General features: G+C 39.8%; 1 protein-coding gene and 1 pseudogene across 6 annotated transcripts in view, besides 2 other annotated features; one reads left to right on the forward strand and one right to left on the reverse strand.

Annotated features, from left to right (window-relative positions):
- The window catches only part of FAM110B (family with sequence similarity 110 member B), a 154262-nt gene that overhangs the window by 114517 nt on the left and 11855 nt on the right, over positions 1–27890 (forward strand). The window lies entirely within an intron of this gene.
- Positions 4102–4624, reverse strand: RPL26P26 (ribosomal protein L26 pseudogene 26; annotated as a pseudogene).
- Positions 9065–9638: an enhancer, noted in NCBI's record as "NANOG hESC enhancer chr8:59030663-59031236 (GRCh37/hg19 assembly coordinates)". NCBI's record gives its function as "activates a minimal SCP1, AML or CMV promoter by ChIP-STARR-seq in naive H9 embryonic stem cells {active_cell/tissue: H9 hESC(naive)}" and the evidence as "EXISTENCE:reporter gene assay evidence [ECO:0000049][PMID:30033119]".
- Positions 13388–14007: an enhancer, noted in NCBI's record as "OCT4-NANOG-H3K27ac hESC enhancer chr8:59034986-59035605 (GRCh37/hg19 assembly coordinates)". NCBI's record gives its function as "activates a minimal SCP1, AML or CMV promoter by ChIP-STARR-seq in naive H9 embryonic stem cells {active_cell/tissue: H9 hESC(naive)}" and the evidence as "EXISTENCE:reporter gene assay evidence [ECO:0000049][PMID:30033119]".

Consider the following 27890-nt stretch of genomic DNA (forward strand, 5'->3'; position numbering starts at 1 on the left):
TGGAATTTGGATTGAAACACTTTTCCTCTTTTACCTCTTACAGCACGTCGCACATTGTGTCAGTCTGCCGACTTCATTTCTGTCTTCCACACTAGACTAGGAACTCTTACGTGTCTTATCTGTTGATGACTTCCACTCCCATCCCAAGCATCCCCATACTTGGCCCACAGCCCTTGTTACATAAATGTTTATCTTGCAGGACCAATGAGTGAATGAAAGGAAGTTTGAATCAATTACCAACTAGCTGCAGAGTAAGAACAGAAGCCTCAAGAAAGATGAAAAACCAATTTTACAAATTTAACATAATATTTACAGGAATAAATTTTTGCTATACAAATCTAGCCATCACGAGAACCTGTGTAAATAGAACTCATAAAGACCCCAGGGCTTACTTTTTGGTCTTCAAGAAAAGGCACAGTAGCTGTTTTTATTAGCGGCACAGAAAAATGATTTTGTTTCCTATGATACTGATCCTGCACAAGTTTTTTTCTTTTTTTCTTTTGGTTACTGGCTAGGGGTATATGGAAATTCTGGGGAGGAAGGCTTGTTGATGTTCCTGTGGCTTATACACCTGCCCAAAGCTGTGCTCCACTGACACAACTGAAGAAGGACAGACAGGAAAACGAGGCCAGGAATCCTGGACAGGCCAAAGTGCCTGGGATACCCACGGGGGATCCAAAGGGCCACCAGGCATCCCCAGTGACATCGGAAACACGAAAGGCTGTAGGGTGGCCAGAGCCATCAGCCTCCCAAAATTGTCCACCCTTAGACTAAACAACATCCTGCTGCCTTCCCATCATTAACCTGCCCTTTTATGCAACTGATTTTTTATGGGAGAAAACAGTTTATTGCGGGTTATTCAGTTTACTTATTCAGAAGCTGTAGAGTGGCTCAGCGACAGGGACAAATGAAAATTCGGAACATCATACTCTCCATGTTTACTGTGATGATTCTTCTCTTCCATCACTGTCTATAAACAACACTGTGAGGACAGAATTCTCTGAAAAGCTAAGATATGGGACACCACAAAGGCCTGAAGCTTCCATCCAAAAGAAGTAATCTGAGTTGGACCTAGTGGGGATTAAGCATGCTATTGATTTAGTATTCATTTTTTATATTTGGACTGTTTAAAATTACTTATCCAAGAAATCCTCCAAGGCGCATGATTATATTATCATACTCATTTGTTGGGGAGGGTGGGGGATTGTAGTTATTAGTGTAATTTGCCCCAGACCAGAAAGTACTACTAAATGCTATGATTAGAAAAAGGAGAAGGAAATCTGTATTTATATGGAAAAGAATTTACTTAGGATGTTATTCTGCATTTTAAATTGTACAGAAGAGAAAGGAAAGAAACCGATTAAGATGCTTAAAATTTAAATTTCTTCTTTGGAGAATCAATGACTAAAATGTCTCAGAAGGTATGTATTAGGATCATAGTTGAAAAAAATAAAATATTCCACTGATTATATATAGTGAAATCTAATTAAGTTTTAAGTAAAAGTAATAGTATTTCAAAGATACTTTACCTGCTAGCATTCTTTTTATCATGATCTTTATTGACCGTAAATCAGAGCCCTTGGCTAAGGATACATTTTATTCCAGAAAAATTATTTCAGAACTTGATTTCAACTGTATTATTGGTCAACTATTACATTTCCTTTTTTATTTCAAATGTCGATCAACAGGGTGTAGCCATTTATAATATTTATAATTATTTATATCTACAATTACAGGCATTTAATTTGTCATTTGAACAATGATATGACATTGTGCTAAATACTTCAAGGAGAGACACAGAAGGGGAAATATTATTGGTTATTACTTCTTAAATATAAAAGTTTGTCTTTAAATAGCTGTGAAAGGTGTTATAGGAGCATAGATTCCGAATTACAAGCCAAACATAAAATCTTCTAAATGTTATTTTGGAACTATACTTTCCTCAAGATAGCGTTATTTTTAAATCTGTGAAACTGACTTGATTGAATATTGTTTGTTCATTATAGTAATTCATACATTTAATGTTAAGAAAAATATTGGACTTCAGAATAATATGAATGAATTAATCCTTATAAAAATAATTGTATGTTTTGTATTTATGTACAAGCCTGTGAATCTCTTTTCCCAAACATAAAGCAAACTTCCAAATACACACATTTATTTTGTACCAGCCCCCATGCTCATCTGCCTGTATATTTGAAAAATAATTCTGAGCTCAGAAAATCACTCTCCATGTGATGGGTATGAAAGTATGCACTTCACTGCTAAATTTTCACTCATACCTTATTTTTGGCTTATATTCCTGTGAATTTTTAAAATTTCATTTTCTGTTTTTTAAACTCAGTAGATTCAAAGCAGGAATTGTGAAGTGGATTATAAATACAAATAATTGTGAGAGGTTGGGGAACTTCTGGACTTGTGAATGATGGCAAGACATTAATAGCTAGCAGCCTGGTTCCATGTGGGAACACTGGAAGTCTAAAACATTAGACATCTACAGAAGGTGTTTATGTGTATTATAGTAGCTAAGATAGCAGCCGTGAATCATCAATAAATGAAGACATGTAAATATATAAACTACTTTTTAATTTAAAAAAAGAAAAAAAAACTACTTTTAAAAGATTCCATCAGAAATGCTGATTTAAACAGTTTCCATCCTTACATAAACATGTGAGTGAAAAGACATAAGCTGCTATTTTCTAGGTCCCCCACGTGTGTGCAAACCCCTCCTTCTCTGACCATAGGAAGTAATCGAAGAATTAATGCTGTATTCTCTTACCCATTCACTTCACACCTAGTTTGTGCCTGGCATTGGGCTAGGTACTTTCTATACCTTACTTAACTAATATAAGTGAAGTAAATTCACCCAATGTATATTCATAGTTTGGGTTAGTTACACTTCAAGCAAAAGGCCACTGGTTTAAAAAAAGACAAAAGTTTTTTGGGTTGTTTTTAGTACAGTTTACAATTATAACAATATTAAAGTTTAAAATTAGTACTTTTGGCTGGGCATTGTGGTTCATGCCTGTAGTCCCAGCACTTTGGGAGGCCAAGGTGGGCAGATCACCTGAGGTCGGGATTTGAGACTAGCCTGGCCAACATATAGTGAAACCCTGTCTGTACTAAAAAAAATACAAAAATTAGCTGGGCATGATGGTGCACACTTGTAGTTCCATCTACTTGGGAAGCTGAGGCAGGAGAATCGCTTGAACCCAGGAGGCGGAGGTTGCAGTGAGCCAAGATTGAGCCACTGCACTCCAGCCTGGGTGACAGAGTAAGACTCCGTTTCTTAAAAATAAAAATAAACATAAATTAGTATCTTCACATCAACAGCTTACCTAATAATTTTTACAAATATGCTCCACCTCACATTTGTTTGAAAAATCATGTACAGCCCCTTGTATAAAGCAAGACTTCTGAAGTCTGAGTCATTGCAGTCTTTACCTTGAGCATATGTTTGTAACATTAGTAACAACCCCCACTCATCCTGTAGCTGAACTTCACCTGGGTGATGATTTGACTTTTCCACAGTGCAAGATGGTGCTGAGGGTCCACTGGGCCACGCCCCTGGGCTCTCCTGGGGTTTGTCACCCCACTTTGTTGGAATATAGCTTGGCCCTGTCTGGTCCTGTTCCAGTTGAGTGCTGGTTCTCATTAATAGCCTCTGGGAGTGATTTTTTTAAACAATATATTCTTAAGATTCCCAAAGGAAATATGTCTGGTTTTATGTTTTTAAGGGATCTTTTAAAGTTTTCTGCATAGTAAGTGTCTTAGTCCACTTAAGGACTAAGGGCTAAGGACTTAAGGACTAAGGACTTAAGGGCTGCTGTAACAAAATACCATACCCTTGAGTAGCTTAAACTACAGACATTTATTTCCCACAGTTCTGGAGGCTGGGAAGTCCAAGACCAAGATGCCAACAGATTTCGTGTCTAGTGAAGCCCCACTTCTGGGCTCACAGATGGACATCTTTTCACTGCGTCCTGAAGTCGTGGAAGGGAAGAACTCTTTTCTCTTCAGCCCCTTACAAGGGCACCATTCCCATTCATGGGGGGGGGCTCTGCCCTCATGATTTAATCACCTCCCAAAGATCTTGCCTTTTTTTTTTCATTTTACCAGTTTAAAATGAAAATTCTACATATGATTACTTTATGTCTGCATCTTTTCAATTGTTTCTTCCTTGTGTTTGCCCTTTCTCTTGCCTGCTTGATGAGATTTGGCTTTCTGTCCAAGGATCTTTCTTTGGTCTCTGTTCACTTTCAGCCTAGAAGTAACAGCTGGAGTGAATGCCCATGTGGACAGTTGTGCCATTAGCCTTTTCCCACTGCACCTGCTCAGTGTAGATGACACATTTCTTCCTGTAAACCTTGACTGTTTTGCCAGTTTGCTGACATTTATAGTGTCCTCACACAGCCTGAACTTCATCATCCTTTCAGATGAGCATGGATCAAACACTGTACTTCTGTGTCAGCTCTTTGGAAAGAGAGGAAGACGTAATCTTCCTGCGAATGTGGAAAGGTGCCTTGAAATGCCATTTTGTGGTTCTTGCTTCAGTCAAAAGTCACAAAGGGATTAAACTTCGTTTTGGCCACTACCAGTTCAGTGATAGCCACAAAAGGGAAGACATTCTTCCTCTTAATACTATCACATTGAGGATTAGGTTTCAACATACAAATTTGGGGGGCACATTCAGACCACAGCGATAGAGAAATAAATCTCCGACTGGAAATGATTCATTAATAAAGAAGTGTTTGCTGGGCACAGATTTTTAATGTCACTTCATAGGTTTTCATTTCTGTAATTGCTTTAGATTCATGTCTTAGCTGAAACTTCATAAAGCAAGGAAAGAAGATAAATGGCAAAGCAGAGTATAAGTGACTTCTTGGTATTACATCGGGCCTTAAAAGTCTTATGCTTACTTACTGTCCTTTGTCCCTTTCTTTTGGTAATCTGTGTTTTAAAGTAACTGACTGCCCTGCCATTGTCATCTGCACATTTGATAGGTTTGCTCTAGCTTAACCTCTGGGTCTTTAATGAGCATGCCCTCTCTCTTAAGAGAAAGAACAATCACTCAAGGGCTAATATTTGTGCAGGGAGATACTATTTTTCCAGCTATTGCTATGATGTGAAACAGAATCAGAAGTGTTGATAGATCTGTCCATGACTTGTCTCTTGTCCATGGGAAGGGCTTGTACTGGTCTGGTCTGAGAGGGTTACTACTAGAAGCCACAGTTGCTATTCCTCGATAGTCTAATAGATTTATATTAAATAATTATTTTTCTGGTAATGATATAAGAACAAATAATATACTTCCCTGAATTCTCAGAATTTTCTTTAAAAGCTGTAGTTATATAACACTCAGAAATCTATACTGGCTTTCCCAAGTGTATTCACCCTACCCAGGGCGTCATCGTCTCAGCCAGCCTCATGCTGACCTCAGTAGTTTTGTGATCTTGAAATTGCTGCTCCAAGTTCACCTCTCTTGAATCCCAGGCATTCTATGCAAGGCTTCTTTTTCTGTATTCAAACACTGACAGGCGAGTTCCCTTCTTAATTACCTGAACAAGTTGGGGAGGATTTAGATATCTCCACTGGCAGCAAGGTGAGAGACCAAACCACGAGCTGAAGGTACAAGGGTTGAATAAGCATCAGCTATCAATGTGAGCGCTAGGCCCTGTTCTAAATGGGTCCCATGTGGAGATTCATTTAATCCTGACTTAATAATCCTAGGAGATGAATAATATTTTATCTCTTTTTGCAGATGAGGAAACTGAGACCAAGAAAATTTGAGTAGCTGCTGAAGGACATTCAGCTAGTTACATACAGTATTTAAACCCAGCAAGTTATCTCAGCCCCGTGTTGTGTTGCCCTCTGATGAAGGGCAGCAAGGGAGATGGTCTTCGCTGGAATCAGACCACTAGAATTCCCGAGTGCTTTGGGGTCACCAGTCCTCTCTATTGGAAAGTTGTTTTTTTTTTTTTTCTTAATTAGTAGTTGGATCACTGTAAATTCTAGGCAAATCGACTTTCCTCAGAATATGTGACTCATCTTGACTAACAATCTTTTCCAAAATATTTCATTGCTCATCGGCTTGTACCCACCCCCATGCCCCACCCTGGCCAATTTCTTAAAGACTACTTTCCTGGCTCAATTTTCCTTTTCTTTAGAATGACAAAAAGTAATTCCTCTTCCATATAGTTTGTTTAACTAAAGAATACTATTAATACACCATCTTCCCCAGACAACGAATTCTATACACAGCACAGGTGGACGTGAGCACACACGTGCAGAGACATACATACAAACACACACACACTAGTCAAAAGCGGAGCCTGAATCATTTTTTTTATTTTTTATTTTTTAAATTTTTTGGAGACAGAGTCTCGCTTTGTTGCCCAGGCTGGAGTACAGTGGCACAATCTCGGCTCACTGCAACCTCCTCCTCCTGGGTTCAGTCGATTCTCGTGCCTCAGCCTCCCGAGTAGCTGGGACTTCAGGCACATGCCACCACGCCTGGCTAATTTTTGTATTTTTAGTAGAGATGGGGTTTCACCATGTTGGCCATGCTGGTCTCGAACTCATGACATCAGGTGATCTGCCCACCTTGGCCTCCCATAGTGCTGGGATTACAGCAGAGTCTTGAAGTATCTAAGAGCACCTTGGGACTTTTGCCCATCCCTGGCCTTTATCTTCCAGACATCGGTACTGTACAGCAGATGGCTAGTGATACAGTGTACCTTATTCTGGTGTTGAGAAATGTATTATGCTGAGTATAACTTAGGCTAGGAAAAAACTTTATTCCTGATAAAAAGTAGTGTTAGCAGAGGTAGAATAGCATAGTGATGATAATCTGGGATTTGGAAGCCAGAGAAAGGCCCAGATTGGAATCCCAGCCCAACCACTTGGAAGCACTTTGGACCCTGGCCAGTTCGTTCACTTGTTTAACAGGATATTTGTAAACTCTGTGTACCAGGTCCTGTTTTAGGCCCTGGGAATGCAGAACACAAAACAGATCAAGACTGCTTAAATACTAGTATGGAAGACATACATACGTACATACATACATGCATGCATGCCTGGTAACCAATTGGCTGTACTTTTAAAATATATTCAGAAAACAACCAGCTTTCACCACTGCCATCATGGTTCAAACCCCTCGGATCATTGCATTAGCCTGTTAACTGTTTCCTGCTTCTGTTCTTCCCTCTTGCAGTCTTTTCCCAACAGAGCATTCAGAAAGCTCCCTCTAACCCGTGAGTCTGAGCCCTCTCTCCTGGATGCAAAACCTCACAGTAGAGTCCCATTCTCCTTGAAGACAGCCATGGTCCTTGACAGGTTGTGTCCATTATCTCTCCATCTCCTTCCTCCCATGCCAGCCACACCTGTCCTCCAGGCCTCTGCACTTGTCTTTCCCCTAGCATCTCTGTGGTTACTCCTTTACCTTCTTCATAACTTTGCTCAGATATCCCCTTTTCAATGAGGCTTTTCTTATTTGACAGATAGAACAATGCCTGAATAAAGAAGGAGCTAACCCACCTATTTCATATACAAATATGCCAACCCTAATATTCAGACCAGATATATTTCGTAATACTTTTAAATCTTCTGTAACACATCTGTGGAATAAGCCTATTTTGAAGTTCTTGGGAGTCCTATTTCTCCCAGGCACTGAAACTTGAATGTGTCATGATAGTAAACCAAGAGATTATAAATGAATGAACATTCAGTTTCCAGGAAGAGATTAAAAAAAAGACAAGTAAATTACCTTATTTGTTTTGTCCAGAATGTATTCCATTTAAGGCTTATAATTCTCAATTCTTGAGGCTGGAGAACAGATTGTAGAGCATCAGGAATGGTTTGCTAACTCAAAACCATTTCAAGCTTCTTAACGCGATGCACACAGCATTTGGGGGCTGCCTTCAGGAGTATAAGCCTAGCTGCTCCCTCGAGACCTAAAGAAAGCAAGTGAGAAGGTGAGTGCATATCTCAGGATCTGACAGGATGGCTGAAAGCAAAGAGCCTCTATTGTGGCAGGTTTATTTTATAGCATTTTTGTGCCGATCTGTCCAGAATCCCTTAACCGGTGTGAGGGAAAAATCAGTATTATTAGGTAAACCAATTAGGGAATCTCAGTGAGGTATTTTTCTCTGAATCTAATAAAGCAGAAGCTAACTGAGCTCTACCTGAGAACAGTTGATGTGATTCGATGTGGTGCTTTCTTGATGGCAGCTGGACACAGATACTTTATTCTAATTTACATCCCAGTGGGATGACCCATGAACCAGTATTCGAGAAAAGAGCCAGAAGAAAACTGCAGAAAAAGCTTCAGAAACCTCAGCTTTGATACATAAGCACAGAGCAACAGAACTACTGCCAAAAGTGGGGATGGCAAATTTGGGGGAGGCTTTAACCTCTCAGCACCTCAATTTCTTCCTTGGCCACATGGTAGTCATGAGAAGCATCTATAGTGGAGCCAGCCTGCCTTGTTCAAATTCCAACTCCATCTCTCTCTAGCTAAGGTAGAGCGAGGGTTTTCTTGGGTAAAGTATTGAATGCCTTAGCATCTTTGGGCCTCATTTTCTTCATTTGTAAAATGAAGGGTAGTAATAGCCCCTGCCTCATAGAGTCATTGTTAAGAGTTAATATGTTCGTATTTGCAAAATGCCTTAGAGTGGTTCTGGCACATAGTAAGCACGGTCTGAGTGCTATTTCTATAATCATTATTATTATGTAGTATGTGCCTAATGAATATGTACATAAATAAACATAGTCTATAACCAGAAGGCATTTTTGCAATTTCTTTATTTAATTTGCATTAAACTTAATAGAGTGGAGACTTAGTTCTCTGTTAAACTCTTTCAGAAAACTAACGGACATTAAATACAAGACAGCATGTTTAAAATTAAAATTAAGAAGTATCTGTCTTTATAGATAATTATACAACACTGTCAAATCAGCTTCCAGAAAATATCGGAAAGATTCTAGAGTAACATCTTTGGATGTGAAAAAGATAAATCCTGTGTTCACAAATGTCATTAGCTTTATGTTTAGCTTTAAGTTTTAAAAATGTTTACCCCATTGTCATTAATCTCTTTATTGATAATAATGCTATTTCCATAATCCCAAGGGACCCAATTCAATATATTTCTTCTCTTATTTCTCCTTTCTCCACTGACCTTGTTCTGTGACATTACTTTCCAGACATTTGTTGAATGAGCATGGTCTGTCCTGGAAATGCCAATGCAGATTGATACAGCCAGAGATTAAGCCTCAGTCAGGTCTCAAGAGCCAGAAAGCTCTGCAGATTTACTAACCATGAGAATGGAAACTAGCCGCATTCCAGGACATTAGGATTTCACTCTTCCCATCCCAAAACGGGTTATCTTTTTTGAAGGGGGTAGGGGAGACCAAATTTCCGGTTGGGTCTGGGTGCTTACCGGAAGATTAGCGGTGGGAAGTTTCTTCAGACTAGCTTAAGTAGAAGGCTTAATTGCAGATGCTTACTTCTAAGGCAGGGTGGGGCGTGGTACCTGGGGCTGAGCTGCTGCTGCTTCCAAAGTGTCTGTGCTAAGGAGACTGTTTACCTTCAGTGCCTTCACACTTTTAGTTACAAAGCAGCAGCACCTTGTAGCAGCATCAGTTGTGAGCATCTTCCAGGCCACTTATGGATTAAAAACTCCAAAAATCCCCTTTTGAAACCATAAAAGCACAGTTTGAAAAGTACCTCATTCTTAGTGATATAACTTCAGATGTTATTTTGGTGCAGCCTGGGGAACACTGTTTGCCTGAAACAGGTAGCAGTCCTCATAATGATAAGTTTAAAAAGCCACTCAACCATATTCGTGCTGCTGGCCTTACAGTCTCATTTTTAGATTCTTGTTTTAACATTGCCTACAGACATTATTCTTATATTACTTCAAACATTCAGAACTAAAATTATTCATGATTTTCTGAAGAAATGAGATAATGGCATCCTTTAGAAACCAAAAAACAAATACTCTGAAAAGTACCTGTTCACTTGCCCCTTACTGGAGGTGGCTGGACTGAAATCCAGAATGGAGCCAACCCAAAGCAGGCAGCATTCCTGAAGAAAGTTCGTGTGCATGCCCTCCCTTTTCTCCCCTCATAACTTATTTTCTCTTAATTTGAGTTTAGAGGGTAACTTAGTCTGAGCTGCTATAGCAAAATACCTTGGACTGGGTAATTTGTAAACAACAGAAGTTTATTTGCTCAGTTCTGAAGGCTGGAATGTCCAAGTTCAAGGCACCAGCAGATTTGGTGTCTGGTGAGGGCTCCGTCCCCACAGATGGTGACTTCTTGCTATGTCCTCGCATGGGGGAAGGGACAGGCACACCCCCGTAAGCCTCTTTTATAAAAGGGCACTAATCCTATTCATGAGACTGATGCCCTCATGACCTAATCACCACCTAAAGGCTACACTTTTTAATACTGTTGCACTGGGGGTTAGGTTTCAACATGGGAATTTTGTGGGGGACACATTCAGACCATACTAGGGAGAAATAGTGGTGCGTAAATTTATCCTTGTGACTGAAGATCTAATATTCCAAATAACTTGGTTCTAACTGGCAAGGGTACTTATAGTCTTGTTGCAATCACTGTAGGATATATCCAGACCCCTCTGATAGCTTTAGTTCTTCCCACTGACCTGTCTGCAGAGATTCTTCAGGGTTGTACTGCTTCCCAGGCTGGCCTGTGGAAAGAGAGTATATGACCACTCTGCTTGTGGCAGTTCTTTGGTACTGACTGCACTCGGCATGCCGCTAAGCGCTCTCTTCAGATTATCTCATTCTACATCCTCAACAATCTGGTAAGGTTGGTTATTATCATTGCTCTTTTACTATTGAGAAAACCAAGACTCAGGTTTGAGTAAATAACCTGCTTCTGGGAAATGTAGCCAGTAAGCCACAGAGCCCAGGGCCAAGCCAAGGTCGGTCCGACTTCCAAATTCATACCTTCAGTCAACATTTGTACATCCCAGAATCGTGTCCTGGACTTAGTGACTCTGAGGACACCTTCCTCAAGGGCACATGGTTTCTACCTAGAGTGAGGAAATATGAACCACATGGCTGGAGCATATTTAAAGAAGATAGGCAAACTATGTTTGCACATAATTTTTTTTTATTATTTCAAATACCTGGTCCACAGCGTACAGTTTTCTTAATGAGATTGCTTTAGGAATCCCTCTTTATGTAGAAAGAGTGTTTTTCATCTTCCTGATCTAGCCCCTCTCATCTGAATTATCCACTGAACTATCCACTTTTTCATCTTCCTGATCTAGCCCCTCTCGTCTGAATTATCCACTGAATTATCCACTTTTTCGTCTTCCTGATCCAGCCCCTCTCATCTGAATTATCCTGTAGACTGTGGCACACTAAGGAATAATGGAGAATGTAGGAATAAGAGAATAACTCCACCAACAGCCATTATCTACCTGGAGAAATTCCAGGCAGGGCATTTCAGGAAGTACCTCTGGTATTTCAACAGGTGAACATCTTTCTGTGTAATTTATTTTTGTGTTGGAACACGAGCTTATGGATTGCTGGATCCCATCCCAGAAGTGGCTACCCCTCCACTGCAGATAAGAATAAGAGCTCCGAGGGTGGGACTGTCAGCCCATATTGTTGAGGTTTTGATTTATTACCCAAGAGTTGTGTTCTAAAGATTCCCTCATTTAAAGTACATGCCTCTGGGATCCATGAAATTCCCAAGGTGGAGAAACAAGAATGGATGTAACTAGGCTAGATGGAAGACTGGGAGAATAGGTGATAGTTACTGAAAAGCCTGGCAGGGTTGGGGCTGGCATCAGAATCCCCTGAGGCCCATTCCCTCCCAGAGCCAACATCCAAGCAAGGCGGAGTGTCCCCATAAGAAACATGGGAGAAACATGCCACTCCCTTCAGTTACACCCTTTGTTCTTTCAGTCATTTAAATATTTGAATATAAAGGGATGTAACGGTGAATAATGGATGCAGTGATGTCCTCTGGAGCTTGCTCAGTTCCAGTGCAGGAGACAGACAATAAATGTAGATTTTAGTCAGTGGCAAGTTCATGCAGAAAAATCAGCACTGTAATAGGATGAGGCGCGATGAGCCTCCAGATGCTGTGTGGCTGCTAGGTCTGGGGAGGTGCCATGCAAACAGGGAAGCCAGAGGCCCATTGATCTCTGTTGTCCACACGCACCACTGTGGATGCAGCTTCAATGGTCTCACTGATAGAACAACATAATAATGCTTTTGATGTATTCTCCTGTGGGTCTCAGAAGTCTAGTAGAGCTCATGAAAGTAAAGAGAAGTATTTGGGTTTCAGTCAATCTTAGCTTCCCAGATTCCAAGCATCCATATGAGAATGCTTCATTTAGTAAGTTTTGAATCTATGAAATTTACTCTGTACTGTACGGAAAACCTGTAGGAATGTTTTAAACTCATTTTTTGTTTGTCTTTCCCCTTGAATTGCCCAGGGACTATGCCAGATAGCAGAAATTATATAACGTTGGGAGTCTTCATAATTAGTTTACTTTTTAAGTTAATTTTATTATGACAATGTAATATAGCTACACATTCTGCATAGTATCCTTTAACCATGCCTCTTTGCTTATAGACAAAGTCTTCTTTTTATAGAGTTAATGACCTCCTTTTTGTCTTTCGCCGTATTTTCTAATATATCTGGAGTTAGATTATTTTCCCAAATGTTCCAGCATTCCTGCCATATGCCTTTGAATAATATTTCATGTGTGCTCATACAGACCTCTTTCCTGTATCTCTATTCCAGGGTCATTTCAGGGCCAGTTGCCCTCTAAGCTGTTCCAACAGCTGCTGTGCTGTGACTTCTCATCAACAGAATGTGGGAACCGCCTTTGGCTGCCCTTCTGGATGGAATCCCCTCTTTTCTTGGATCTCATATCTCTTTCTTTGTAGGTTTATTCTCTCACCTTACTGAAGCACACCCTCTGTAAGCCTCCTAAGTAAAGGGGCCTGGAAAGTATATTTTTAATCTCTGCATATCTACAAGTATCTTTATTCTATCCTTCTGCTTGAAGAAGGATTCTCTGAGCATAAAACTGTAGGTTAATGATTATTATCTCTTAAAAATAATTTCCCTCAATTTTGAAGACATTAAATGCTCTTTTTAAGTACAGCACCATTTTGGTTCCTGAATGTGCCCAGATTTTTCTCTAGAAGCTTTTAAGATCCTCTCTTTGTCTCTGGTGCTCTGGAATTTTACAGAAACTTGCCTTACTGTGGATTTTTTGTTTCTTTATTCTCTAGATATTCCAGCCCTAGAAGTACTTGTATCCCTTCATCTGATTAACTTTTAATATTATTTATTAAACAATTTCTCCCCTTCAACATCTTCTATTACCCTTGCTTATAATTGTTATTACTTGCTTACTGCATCTGCTGGGATGGATCCTCTAATTTTTATGATCTTTTCTTTCCTGTTTTCTAACTTTTGTCATTTTACTTTCTAGGACACTTCTTTGATATTTCTTCAAGCCCACCTATTGAATCTTTAAATTTTAAGTATATATTTAATTTCCAAAGTTTATTTTTGCCTTTTTCTGTTGTTGGGTTTTTTAAGTGCGTTTGCTTTTTATTTTAGGGCTGCACTAACTTCCCTTTTTTCTCTATTTCATTTCCTAGGCCTTTTGAAGTTCTCTGCAAATGTCCTTTGCATATCTTGTTTTCCTTCAGGTCGCTTTTGTTCTGTTTGATTATTTGAGTAGTCTCTGCCTTTCATGTTAGAGGTTTGGCTGCCCATTACCATTTAAAAGGGAGTTCCTAAAACTCAGAGCGGAATCTCAGCGTGGAGGTGGGAGTTGCTGATGATGGAGTGTGCTGTATGAAATCACATGCAGAGCTGACTTTCTCCAAATTAGAACCCCTAACTTCAGCAGGCGTCTCCCCCAGATCATACCTTCCTAGGGCTGATCAGTTTCTTCAGAGGGAAAAATAATTCCTTTCTGGAAAGCATCCTGTGTTCTGTTCCTTGCCTTATGAGAGCTCAGCAGAGCGGGGAGCTAAAGGTCCCACCCTTTGAAGGCTCCCTTTACCCTAGTCCTCCTGCTATCAAACTGCTCCCGCCTGCCAAGGACCCCCTGGATGCTGGCAGAGGTGGCAAGTGGTGTGGGAGCTTGCCTCACTGCCATATTAGGGTGGGGTTTCAGGAGCCCACTACTGCTCTATTTGGTGCTTCACAGGCTCTGTCTTTTCAACTTTGTTTCTGAGCCCACACTCTCTCAGTTCCTGCTCTTTGGGGGGTGGTGCCAGGCAAATGCACTCACTTCTCCCTGGGATCTTCCCCAGACACTTCGAATGATTGCCACCGTCCTGTGAGATTAGTTCCAATTCATCTGTACACTTTGTGTCTCTCTTATTCTTTCTGCTGTGTTTATTATTTTCATTTTAACAGGGAGTTGGGAATAAAAAGAGATAAACTAAATAAATCTTGCTACCATTTTGAACCAAAAGTAACCTTAAGGTTACTTTTTAATCACTGATTTTGTATAATTACACATTATTTAAATGATAGCAGTCAGACTATTTATCTAATATTCTGTGTATGATGCTATAATCTTTAGAACCCATTATGCAGAAAATGCTAAATTCTGTAGTACATGAACATGATATGGTAAAGATTTTATACAGATAGTAATTATAAATTATTTGATTAAGCATGACTTCTCCTTTATAAATACTCATCGAGAAAAAAATCTGTCAGCTATGCCAGACTTGTTTTCGTAGCTGTCGTGATTTAGATTCTGAGGTACACTTTCCCGCTGCGCATACTTCCTTTGGAAGACAGAATAAAAGCAGATTTCTGAGTTAATTAAGAGTGTTTGTGACAGGGATTTGATTTTGTTCTATTTATATAGAATATGTGTTTTTCGGATTCTTTACAAATGCAAAGGATAAGATATCCATGTAGGACAAAGGTCTTGTTAATTTTATATCTTTTATATCTCTGCTAGCCTACTTTACCCTGTTTCCCTTTTATTTGTTTCTGTTTCTGATTATTTAATAAAAGTGTCAACCTAGTGAAGGAGACAAAGTGGAAGGCTAGGTTCCCCATTAACATCTTACTGTTCAATAGGTTGAATTAGGATTGGGCTCTATTTTACTGACTAGAGGCCACATATACTGGCAGAACATTCAGTACTGGATTCGTTGGGTTACTCAGTCAGCCCACAGTAAGATGATTTGTACTAGAGGGAGCTCTTCACGTCCCTAATGACAATGAAATTGTGAAACCCTCAGCTTCTCTGGTAACAAAGCACAGCAGACCATTGCTAAGAGGAGTTGTAGTGGATCAATTCTTGGGTTGCACTGTCTACCAGAAATGCTTCCATCTCAAAGCCAAACAGATGGAACAGCCTAGTTACAAATAGAGATTGGGATTTCATGTTACGCTGCACAGGCAACCTTTTTCACTTGAGCTTTTCATTATCCTTGTTTATAGTCCTTAAATCTCAGAAATGCTGTCATAACCCATACTCTAGTGATGTATGTGAAGAGAGGTGGAAGGTAGGAAGGCGCATCCTAAATATGCCTGATGCATTTTGGGGAGATGCTAAAGGATGAGAAAGCCACCCTGTTTGCATCACTGATACTAGAACTGACTTGCATATTTAGGTGGAACTTAAACCTAGAAGCGTATGTTGTTTTCAAAACTTTTCCCATCACTCTACACTCATCTCTATTAAAATAGTCACTTAAAATGTAGAATTCATGAAGGAGACTTAGGAAATGTCAAATATGGTATCTCTGACTCTAGTTCCTCTAAATAGATTACATGATAATGAGGAATTTTTAAAGAAAAATGATTCTTTTTACGTTTGGTAGACCGCAACGTCAACTCTGCCCCAAATCCTTGTTCTTTGGTGCTGATTTTTTTAAAATCTCTTATCAAAATATAACTTTAAAGCACTTCAGTTTACAGTAAGAAATCATTGAAATCTAGAATTGTTCTGCTTAGATTATTGTAATTTGTACATGAAAATATTATTGAGGCCAGGTGCAGTGGCTTATGCCTGTAATCCCAGCACTTTAGGAAGCCAGGGTGGGTGGATCAGCTTGAGCCCAGGAGTTCGAGACCAGCCTGAGCAACATGGCAAGACCCTTCTCCACAAAAAATATAAAAATTAGCTGGGCGTGGTGGCGCATGCCTGTAGCCCCAGCTACTCAAGGGGCTAAGGTGGATGGATCACTTGATCCTGGGAAGTTGAGGCTGCAGTGAGCCATGGTCCCGCCAGTGCACTCCAGCCTGGGTGACAGAGAAAGAAAAAAAAAGAAAGTTATTGAGAAACTCTTTCAAAGAACACTATTAATGTGTTAAATTTCTTTTGTTTCTTATCTCATCTTCTCAATGCAGTGTCAATTTAATATCCTCATAGACATGAATCGTTTCATATGATTGTGCTTTATTGCCTTCAGTACTATTTAAAAAACATTTTAATCCATGGCATATTCTGAACCATAATAATGGAAAAAGACTTTTTGTTCAAAAAGAGACTTCATTTTAAAATTTTGGAACAATTTAGGAGATAGTCTCATTTTTCTGATTTTTAGGCCAAAGTTTGACCCTAGGTTATTTTCTCAATATTAAAATATGACAAATGTGAGAGCCCATTTCTCCATATAAAATGTCTTATGACCTGAGAAACATGTCAATTTACATTGTAATTTTAACCTCTTGTTATTTTTTAAAATCATGATTGTTCCTTTATTTGGGAAGCAGATTATGGATCTCTGTCTCTTCCCCCAGCTGTTTTCTTTAAACATTTTACTTTGAAATTACAGATTCACAAGAAGTTGCAAAGATGGTAGAAGTTTCATGTGTCACCCGGTACCCTCCCATGGCTATATGTCTTATATAATTATAGTACAGTATCAAACCAGGAAGTTGAGCTTGTATGTATAGTTCATTTTATCACTTGCATAGATTTGTGTAACCACCACCACAATCAAGATCCTATTCTGTACCACAGAGATCCTGTGCTTTACAAGCACCCTCATGACTCCTCATCCTTATCTCCTGAAAACCACTAAATCTGTTCTCCATCTCTCTAATTTTGAGAATGTTATATACATACAGTATGTGACTGTGTGACATTGGCTTTTTTTCATGCAGCTGTTCCTCAGATACATCCCAGTCGTTGCATGCCTCAATAGTTCGTTCCTTTTCATTGCTGAGTATCAGCCATTGTATGGATATACCATAGTTTAGTTAACCATTTGCCCATTCAGAGACATTTTGGTTGCTTCTAGTTTGGAGCTATTACAAGTAAAGCTGCTCTGAACAACTGTGTATAGTTTTTGTGTGGATATAGTTTTCATTTCTCTGGAATAAATGCCCAGGAGTGCACTTGCTGGGTTCTATGGTAAGTGTATGTTTAGTTTTTCAAGAAACTGCCCAGCTATTTACCAGGGTGTCTCTACACTATTACATTCCTACTATCAAGGCATATAGTGATAGAGTTTCTCTGCATTCTTGCCAGCATTTATTGGGTGGTGTGTCTCTCTCTCTTTTTTTTTAATCTTACTTGTTCTAACAAGTGTGTAGTGATAGCTCATTCATGAATAGTGATAGATTTTAATGTCTTATAATGTTGACATCTTTTCATATGTCTATTTGCCCTTTTTATATGCCCTTTGTTGAAATGTCTTTTGCCCATTTTCCAATTGGATTGTTTGGTTTTTTTAAAGTTGAGTTCTGAGAACTCTTTGTATGTTCTAGATATGAGCCCTTTGTCAGATGTATATCATGCAGATATTTTCCCCAGTCTGTTGCCTATCTTTTCATCCTTTTAACAGAGCCCTTCACAGATAAAAAGTTTTTGTAATTCTAATCAGTCAAATTTATCAGTTTTCTTTCATGGATCACTCTTTTGATGTCATATCAAAGAACCCTTCATCAAGCCACAGATCCTAAAGATTTTCTTCTTTGTTGTTTCCTAATAATAACATTTTTTTATTTTACAGTTGACTCTATGATTTTGAGTTAATTTTTGTATAAGGTATGAGATAAAAGGTATGAGGTCAACGTTTATATTTTTGCCTGTGGATATCCAGTTGCTCCAGCACCATTTGTTGAAAAGTCCAGTCCTTTTTCTTTGAATTGCTTTTGCACCTTTGTCAAAAATCAGTTGGCTTAACTTGTGTGGGGCTCTTTCTGGGTTATATGTTGTGCTCCACTGATCTGTGCATCTGTCCTTCCATCATACCACAATCTTGATTACTGTAGCTAGATAATGTCTTGAAATTGAGTACACTGATTCCTCATTCTTTATTCTTTTATCTCAGAACTGTTTTAGCTATTATACTCCTTTGCCTTTCCATATAAGTTTTAGCATAATCTTGCATAAGCTCGCAAATAACTGATGGGAGGTTTTGCTTGACCTTCTCCCTCATTTTCATCTGGCCCACTTTTCTTACACCTGCTTCTTCTTTATTGTCTATCTTGTCTTATATGATTGTCTACATAGAAAATCTCAAATAATCTACACAAAAATGTAAATAAAAAACCCTAGAACCAAAAGGTGAGTTCAGCAAGTTCGCAGAATATAAGATCAACAGACAAAAGTCAATTGTATTTCTCAATAGTGGTGAGTATGTGGAAACTCATGTTAAAAATACTATACCATTTACATTGGCTCAAAAAAAATGTAATACTTAAAAATAAATCTAATAAAACACATCTAGAACTTATATGCTGAAACCTACAAAACACTGATGAAAAAAATCAAAAGTCTAAATAAATGGAGAGGAAGATCCCTATTTATGGACAGGAAGGCTCAACCTAGTGAAGATGTCAGATTTCCTCAAAGTAAACAGGTTTAGCGCAGTGGTTCTCAAATTCCATAAGGGGTTTTGGAGATTCTCTTTTAATCCATTTCATTTTTACAAGAACATCTAGAATTTGCATGTGTTTGGATGGATTGACCAGGGAAGTGATTTTTCTCACAATACACAAGTACTGTCAGTATGTCCAATTAAAAATAACCGTTTTACTATAAAAATATAGTTCACACCTTCTGTATGACAGACAGGCCCTGTGCTCAGTGTCTTCCAGCCTTCACGCCATATCACCTTCACTATCACCCTGTGAGGAAGGTGCTGTTATTATCCCATTTAACACATGGGAAAAGGGAATCACACAAATGGAATTCTCTTGTCCAGAGTCACAGAGCTAAAAGACAGGGAAGCAGGATTCAGACTAGACCAACATGAGTCCTGCATCTGCTCTGCGTTCAGTGTTCCACGGCCTCCTAGGGGTCTTAGGGCCTTCTTTGGTTTCATCAGGATTCTCACATCAAGTGCTCTCAGAGAATTCTACTTTTCGAAAAATCACTGTAATCCTTACATCACTTCCCTCACCAGCACCCTGTGAGGCCCTGTTTTGAGTTTCCCCAGTCTACTCTAGGATTTCAGTTTCAGTTAGAGAGCTGAACCCAAGGATTATTTAAATTGTCCAGCCATAGGGAAACATTTGATAGATACTTTTCAGGAAAAAAAAAATTAACTGTGTTTTGAGAATGTTGATTAAAAGAGCCCTTCTCATCTGTCAGAGAAGGATGGCTGTATAAGTATTTGTCTTTTGCCCTGCAAGTGGGGGAAATGGATTTGGGGATGACACATCACTTTTCTGAGGTATCAGAGGAAGTAGGTCACATTTTGCTGTTGATCATAATGTTTGAAAAAGCTGGCATTGAAAAATGAGAAATTGCATTTTGAGTAGTTCTTTGTCCAAAGACTAGAAATATTTTCTGAGACAAACAATAAGTTTTATATTTTTTTTTCCATCATCTCCCTAGGATAACTTTTCTTTTGTGGTCAGTTTTAGCCTGCTAAAAGGAATCATTGGCTCTTCATAGACGTATTGGCTGCATTTATTGAAATGTCTTTTCAAGTATCCTTGTAAACACAGGAAAGCTTCACCTCCTGAGTTCTAGAAACAACGCTGGGAGTGATCCAGAATGCCTTAGTAAATAAAATAGATGAAGGTTTAAAAGACTCCGTCTATCTTTAGAGCTATTAAACAAAAGAGAAACATTCAACATCTTCCCTCTAATAGTCAATAAGAAAGAAGAATGTCACAAAAGAGTTCGATCCCCTCTAGGCTAATGGAAGGGAAACCACCTGAGTCAGAGTTGGTCTGGAGAGGCAAGCATTACACCCAGTGGTCTCTGATGTCATCTCAGCTCTGAGCCAGTGGCCTCAGGGGTACTGTGTCCCAACTGGAGAATTAACAAGGTGATTACTGAACTGTAATTGCTGGCTAAATGTCTTCCAAAGACTATCATAATCTCAGAAATAAGCTGACACATTACATGCAAATATAACATGACCTTTTAGCACAGTTTATTGCAGAAACATCCACCTCTCGATAACATTAGAAGCTGCCTCCGTTCTCCAGTCAGCCACCCCCTTCGGGGCCCCTGTTGGTAGTATTTTAGCCCAATAAATGGCTCCTGTCCAGTGGTTCCCTTGGCCTGGAGGAAAGGAAGGCGCTGCTGGAGGCACTGTACACATTCTGTACCTTCTCATACATGCTGTATGAGAAGTATGTGAGGCTCGAGGCTCAGGACCATAAAGGATGTGAGGGATCAACCCTGGCACAGATTGCGGCTACTAGAACAGGGAGGAACAAAAGGCTGACAGCTTACCAAGGCAGAGCCACACCCATGCAGGGTCTCCAGTGCCCACGGCTGATGAGATGCCCCGCATCCTGCTCCTTCTTTCTTCCGCTCTTACTTTTTTCATCCAGTCTGCTTAAACCTCCCTCTTCTTTACTGTCTTTTTTTTTCTTAGATTTAATCTACTTATCAAAAACATTCTTGTCACTTTCTTAATATATTGCAATGATTTTTTTAATGCTTAAATTCTTATTACAGTTTATCTTTAAAATTCTGCCTTCATGTTCTGTCTTCATGTTCCTTTCTTCTTGCTTTGAAAGTAGAAGTTTCAAAGAAACATAGAACCTATTAGAAAGGAACTTGACATTCACCTGCCTCCTCCTTACACCCATTATAGGAATCCCCTCTAAAATTTCTTGAACAGATGTTAAGTCTACCTCTGCATGAAGCATTCCTAGGATAAAAAGCTAGCACTTCTTTAAAAACCAATGAATTCTAGTTTTGAACAGTTTGAATTGTTCAAAAATTCTTCCTTCTGTTAATCTGCAAATTGCCTTTATAGTCTATGATGTTCATCTGATAATGTTTTCTCCAGTTCGTTAAAAAGAACAGTAGCTAACATATATTGCCGCCTCTACGATCATGAGTCCTGGTATCAGCCCCATGGCACAGCTAAGGAACCTAAAGTTAGAGAGACGATTCTTCAAGGTCATGCAGTGGTAAATGGGGGAGGGGACTCACATGTTCTGACCCTAGGACCTAGAACCTGCGGTCACACCAGCCTTTCCTCCTTATAGGCACAGTTTACATTTTCCCTTAGAATCCAACTATAAAATCTCCTCCATCTCTACCCTGAATTGTGCAATCTGTTCTGTGGAATGTATGTGAATGCCTGAGCATGCCACAAAAACAGGGAATTGTGTCTCTTCCATTCATGTCAATACCTCCAGTGCTAGTAACAGTGCCCAGCGTGAGTATAAATTGAATGATTGAATCCCTTCCTTAGCTATTATATTACTCTATGAATTCTTAGCTGTTTTCTCCTAGGATCTGATTCCCTGTTGATAAACTTTAAGTTCACAGAAGCAGTACGTTCTTCCTCTGTCTTACAGATGATGAAATTATCACTCATCAGATGATTTGCTTCTGCCAGATGTCTAGCAAATGGAGAGTTGCAGCAACCTGTCCCTATTAGGTTTTGCCTCCATGACCATGAGGCCGTTGTTTACACATCAGCGTCTAAGAATATTCCCACAACAGTATCACTGTCTTCCTTTTCATGCTCTCTGCCTTGTGCCCACCCTCAGCCTCCAACAGCAATCCATATAGGCACAGGCCCCATCCCACAGAAGCTCTCTTCACTGCCACTCCTTTAGAGCCCTTATGATTAAAAAGGCCTTCTCCTCCAACGCCACCGACCAGTTAAGAAAAATCCCATATAACCGCCTGACACCTATAAGTCATTATTCTCTGGGTTCAAATTTTTGGTCACATTTTAATCCCCCTGTTCTCAGCATTAGTGTAAAGTCTTTCCTGTATCAATGCATTTTTCTTTCTGTTGTGTCATTCCCAACATGCTGCCTTTTTTTTTCTCTGTTGCCCAGGTGGAGTGTAGTGGCAAAATCATAGCTTACTGCAGCCTCGAACCCCTGGTCTCAAGCATTCCTCTTGCCTCACCTCCCCCGCAACCCCATTAGCTGGGATTCCAGGCATGAGCCACTGCTCCCAGCCCATGCTACTGTTTTTACCATTGAAAAATAAATATCCTCTCTTGGTTCTGCTTACCAGCCTCTAACTATTACCTCCTCTCCAAACTCATGAAACAAGCCACCTATATCACCGTCTCCTGTTTTATTCTTCCCATCTCTCCTGAAACCCTGCCAATCACTTTACCAAAACCCTTCTTATCTAAGTCAACAGTAATTTCCACCTTAGTAAATCCTTGCTCTGCTTTTCTTTTCAGCACCCATGCTTGTCATACTACATACTATATTGATCCATTGATTAATTGATTGATTGCCATATATGTGAGCTCCACATAGTGTTTATTTTGTTCACTGCCTGGCACATTTGTAGATGCTCAGTAAACACTTGCTGAATGAACAAATACTCTAGTGGGGGTGTCCTGCCTTCTAGTTCTTCTGCCTATATAAACTTGATTAAACAGGTTCCCTTTGAAGTGATTCCCTTGAGGGCAGAGCTTAGGGGAAAGTTGCATTGCGTGGGTCTGCATGGTTGAAGGATCTGTCGCCAGAGATGGGCTCAGGCTTCACCAGGATAAGCTGATTTTTATCTAATCAGGTCATGACTAGACTGTTGGTTTTCTGTTGCCCAGAATATATTCTAATTTCCTTAGAAAGATATTAGAATACTTATTTTCCACGAAGGAGGGTGTCGCCACATTTTGAGATCCCCTTGGAGAATCTCACCAAAGAGCTTTTATTGTCACTGCCTCATATTGGATTCATTGGGCCTATTTTTTATATTTTATGAATGCCTCTCCTCAAAAAGTTTTCACATCATCTTCCTGCCTCTCACTCCCCCTCACTGATGTATCCTCCAGCACAGCAAGTACTCCTAACCGCGGCTTCTCCCTGTAGTAGGTACACACTCTTCCACCGTAGCAGGAAGGAGTTTTGCTGTGAAAGCAGCATGGGGCTTGGCATCGTACAGGCTGGGGGTGGTGAGGGGGGCGCTGGCCAGTATTTTTTTTTTTCCTTCCTGGCTGATGTTCAGGTCTGGCCCCTCTTCAGTCCTTGTGGCCACAGATGTTTCCATGACCATCCAGAGCAGTCTTAGGGCACAGGCTTAGAATACAGATGGCCCCGAGGTGGACAGCAGCTCCTTCAGCTCACTGACCGCAGGCAAGTCATTGAGACCCTCCATGTCTCTGCTTCCCCATCTGTCAAGTGGGAGAATGACAGGTGCTGGGCAGGGCAGGTAAATAGGAGACATCCACCCTGCCTGGCATGAGGTCTGGCTGCTGACAGGCGGCCAACAAATGATTGCTGCTGTGGTTCCTCTTCTTAAATTGAAGGTGCCTGTGCCCAAAATCAAAAGCTTAAGAGATCATGAGGCACCAAATATCAGCAACTACCTTATACTGCAAGCAAAATTATGCTCTTTCTTGTTAAAACGTAGGAGAAAACTTCATTTCTAACTCAACAACAAGAAAGCTAGAGACTGAGAATAAAATAACTGTTTCTAAAAGCCAACTCCCTTTTTCACTTTGGGGAGTTATTTTTCTTTAGTAAACAAGAGTGAGAAGCTTAAATGTTAATCAAGATAGAAGCAAGTGGTATCATTTTAACATAAAAGCATGATGGAATCATGTAAAAAAAAGTACATTTTATTTTAATGTATATTGAAGGCAAAGTTTTCATGTCTAATGAAAGATGTATTTTGCCCTCCCAGCAATGTCTGTAATTTTTTAAAGTATTGATCAGATTACTTTTAATGTTGGTTTTAGATTATTATAATCCTTAGAGAGCCTCTTAAGTGAGCTCGATTTTGTTTTTTTTTTTTTTCTTTTTGATAGCAGGCACAAATGGGGAGGCCGGTAAGTGAACAAAGCCACTTTCATAATACATTAGGTGAGGTTTTTAGATTTGTATTCTTTTATCTTGGGGCAAAGGCACATCCTGAACTAAACACATGTCACACGAGAATCTCTACAAGGGATTCCAAACTCTGCTGTCCGCCAGTATCTGCTGTTCTGGGCAGGCAGGAGCCAGGCAGCTGCCCTCCGGTGTCCCATCCTTGGGGAAGGAGGGTCAGTACCACCACTCACCATTCGGGAATGAGGACTGTAAGGCAAGAGCCCAGGAGGAAGGATGGGACTCAGAGGGAGAGGTCAGAAAAGACTTCCCTGTAGTTTTGTTAACTCTTTTTTCAGCTTGGAAGACTCAAGGAGGGGAGGAGATTCCAGGAGAGAGCGCAGAATGTGGAGGCAGGCATCAGAGAGCCTGGGAAGGAGGAGGGCATCTTGGTCAGGGGAGGCTGGATAGAGGGGACAGAGCCTGTGGTCACAGACCCACATCCCCCTGACACCAGTCTCTCCTCTCCCTCCTAAGGCAGTGTCTACCTTTAGGCACAGCTGGACCCAACCTAGCTCTGCCCAGTGGAGCCCACGTCTGCTGCTTTCCTTTCAAGGAGCTTAATGGCAGAGCTGAACTGGGCCTGGGCAAGGTGGATGAACTTATTAGTCATTGCTGAGCTTCCTGTCACTTGAACCCAAAAATATATTTCAAGTGCAAATTGTGATGAAACCTTACCTTTAACATTCTAGGCTTGAAAATGATTTTATGTAAGACACGTTAAGTGCTGGAAAGATGAAAATATGTGCTGCAATAAATAGGTGTCTATCGTCTTACGTGTCTTATTTTGAAGATTATTTATCCCACAGTTCAGTCTGAATCCACAGAAGTGAAAAATAAACTGTTCTTTTCAGAATATACTTAAGGCAAAGAACTAGTTGTTCTAACAACTGCTATACAAAGAACTCTTCAAGAGATGGAAAATAATTCTAGGTGTTTTTTGACAAATGAGATCAACAATATTCACTATTTTTTTAAGTGAACTCACTGGTTCTGCTGTAAAATTCTACCTTGTATTCATTTCCTTTTGCCCCTTATTTGTGCTCTAAGCAGAATTCAGTGCTAATGTGTTTCTTAGGTGGTGAATAAGCAGTCTCCATGTATTTGCCTTATATTGGAGATTACTCCAATCAAAAGGAGGTACTTGGAGTATCGTTTCAAATATATACACATTCCCAACTTCACTTCCCAAGATTTTATCTGACATTTTCATTGGGCCTTTACAATATGAAAGGGTGTGCTAGGTATTCTACTGAATGCTTAACATTTTAGTTCAACTCTGGGAACATTTGAAATAATGCCTACTATGTGCATAGCTGAGGGCTTTACTAAAAATAGCAGTAAAATTAGGTGATCTCTGCTCTTCATATGCTCTGTGCAGTAAGATAGAATGAAACCACAGTCTTATGTTACTGTTCTTTTTCAAATCTTTCATTATTTTCTTCAAAGTTCAGCCAACTTTGACAGATCCACAGTCAGCAGCGTAAAGAAGGAAAATTTAAAATGAACAGAACTCAGTTTATAAACATTTTACCTTCTTTTTTGTGCATTTAAGCTATTAACAAGTAGCATGGTTATTTGGTTTAACAAAAAATCAAGGCTTTTTTTCGTCCTTCACCCTCTGGAGGAAGCTGGTATTAATACTAAACAGTGAATGGTCAAAAGAGTAGATTTTCAGAAGTAAAATATAATTAGTGTGGGTGCCTGAGCCATATTACTTTAATATAAAGCATTTAAAAATACATTTGGTGCTTCATACATATCTCTTTAACAGCTGAAACAACACTGTGATAAGGTGGGGTGGGCCAAGCCATCCTTGTACCCACTTTGGTATGAAGCCCTTGCCCCTCCATAGCTGAACATCTTAGACATCCTCTTTAAATGTCTCTGGACATCAGTTTCCTCATCTGTAAAATGGGGATAACAACACTTGGTTTAGGGATGTTCACGGGATGGAACTCAAAAATGTGTGAAAGGCATTATTACAGTTCTGGGGACAACATATGTGCCTAATAAGAAATGGTCATTACTAATGGGGCATTATTACAGTTCTGGGGACATTGTATGTGCTTAATAGGAAGTGGTCATTACTAACAGGTAATTTTTTAACATAATTTTTGTAGCAATTTATCTAATACACTCACAGAGGAATTCACCCAAAATACTGCTTTTTCTCCCTTCAAATTTAAATGTTTCATAATTTTATTATAACACACATTTTATTTCAGAGTAAATATCATCTTCTGCCCTAAGGCTGTTTACTAGAAATTAAAATATTTTTCAAAAATAAATGTTCTGTATATATTGGCACAGTAAACTTTATCATTTGTGCTAGATTTGCCCTAGAGTACAAGTTTACACAGCTAAAGGAGAAAGCAGTAACATGCAAAGTGCGGACCCTTAAAATGGACCTTGGTAGAAGCACTGGGCACGGCTCCCCAAATCCACACCACCCTGGGTTCTGGTCTGGGCTCTCTCTGCCACTCACCAGTACTCACCCTCTCCTCTATACAAGGGGATCAGACCGCCTTTTAAGGAGGCTCGCTGAGATGAGGTGTGGGAACTCACAGCACAAAGACTTATAAACTGCAGGAGTTACTACCAGAGTTTATAATCACCGAGTTCATTGAGTTGTTATTACTGCTGGAAGGTGTGCCTGGTTCACCCAAAATGGGGAATCCACTAACTCTCAGACTTACAGTAGCCAGCAAGTCCTTTTTTTTTTTTTTTTTTTTTTTTTTAGACAGAGTATTTAGCTGTGTCTCCAGGCTGAAGTTCAGTGATGTGATCTCGGCTCACTGCAACCTCTGCCTCCCAGGCTCAAGCGATTTTCCTGCCTCAGCCTCCTGAGTAGCTGGGATTACAGGCACGTGCCACCACGCCCAGCTAATTTTTGTATTTTTAGTGGAGACGGGGTTTCACCTTGTTGGCCAGGATGGTCTCGATCTCCTGACCTCGTGATCTGCCCACCTCGGCCTCCCAAAGTGCTGGGATTATAGGCGTGAGCCACCGTGCCCCGGCCCAGCAAGTCTTATAAACTCTGTGACTGGAGTAGACTAGTCTGTAAAAAATGACAGTGGTCCCTTGAACTCCACATTCATTTAATATTTGGTCATGGCCTCACACATTGTCACAACTGAGCATGAAGCCACATAAAGCTCTCCACAGGAGAGGAAACACTGGCAGAAAGGGGGATCATTTTATGTTTGTTTGGATAGGGCGGCATTCTTATTGTATTTGCGTAAAGGAATTCTAGTGGCCCTGCTTTTTAATTACTTAAAGTAATTTTCATCAAGCAAGTCATTATATTTCCAAGTGATTCTTGGCACTGGTTATGCGCAGCACTGATTTCTGTAATCCCAGGTAAAAGGCAAGGCTCCCCCTCACTGATGCAAGTTAGGGGCCCTCTTATAATAACACATTCCTTACCTTAGGCCAAGGAAGAATGTCGAACTGGAAATGTGAAATTTTTTTCTGACTCTCTATTTCATTGTAGTTGTCTTAAATAGGACGAAAACATTTTAAAAGAAACTTCTAACATTTTTGTTAATGGCTTTACTTACAAATGAAAATGAAGCATGTGGATGACTTCTCTAAATGACCTTGGAGAATGACATTAAAGTAAAGAATCCATCGTGGAT

This window comes from Homo sapiens, chromosome 8 (assembly GCF_000001405.40).
Source record: "Homo sapiens chromosome 8, GRCh38.p14 Primary Assembly".
Lineage (NCBI taxonomy): Eukaryota > Metazoa > Chordata > Mammalia > Primates > Hominidae > Homo > Homo sapiens.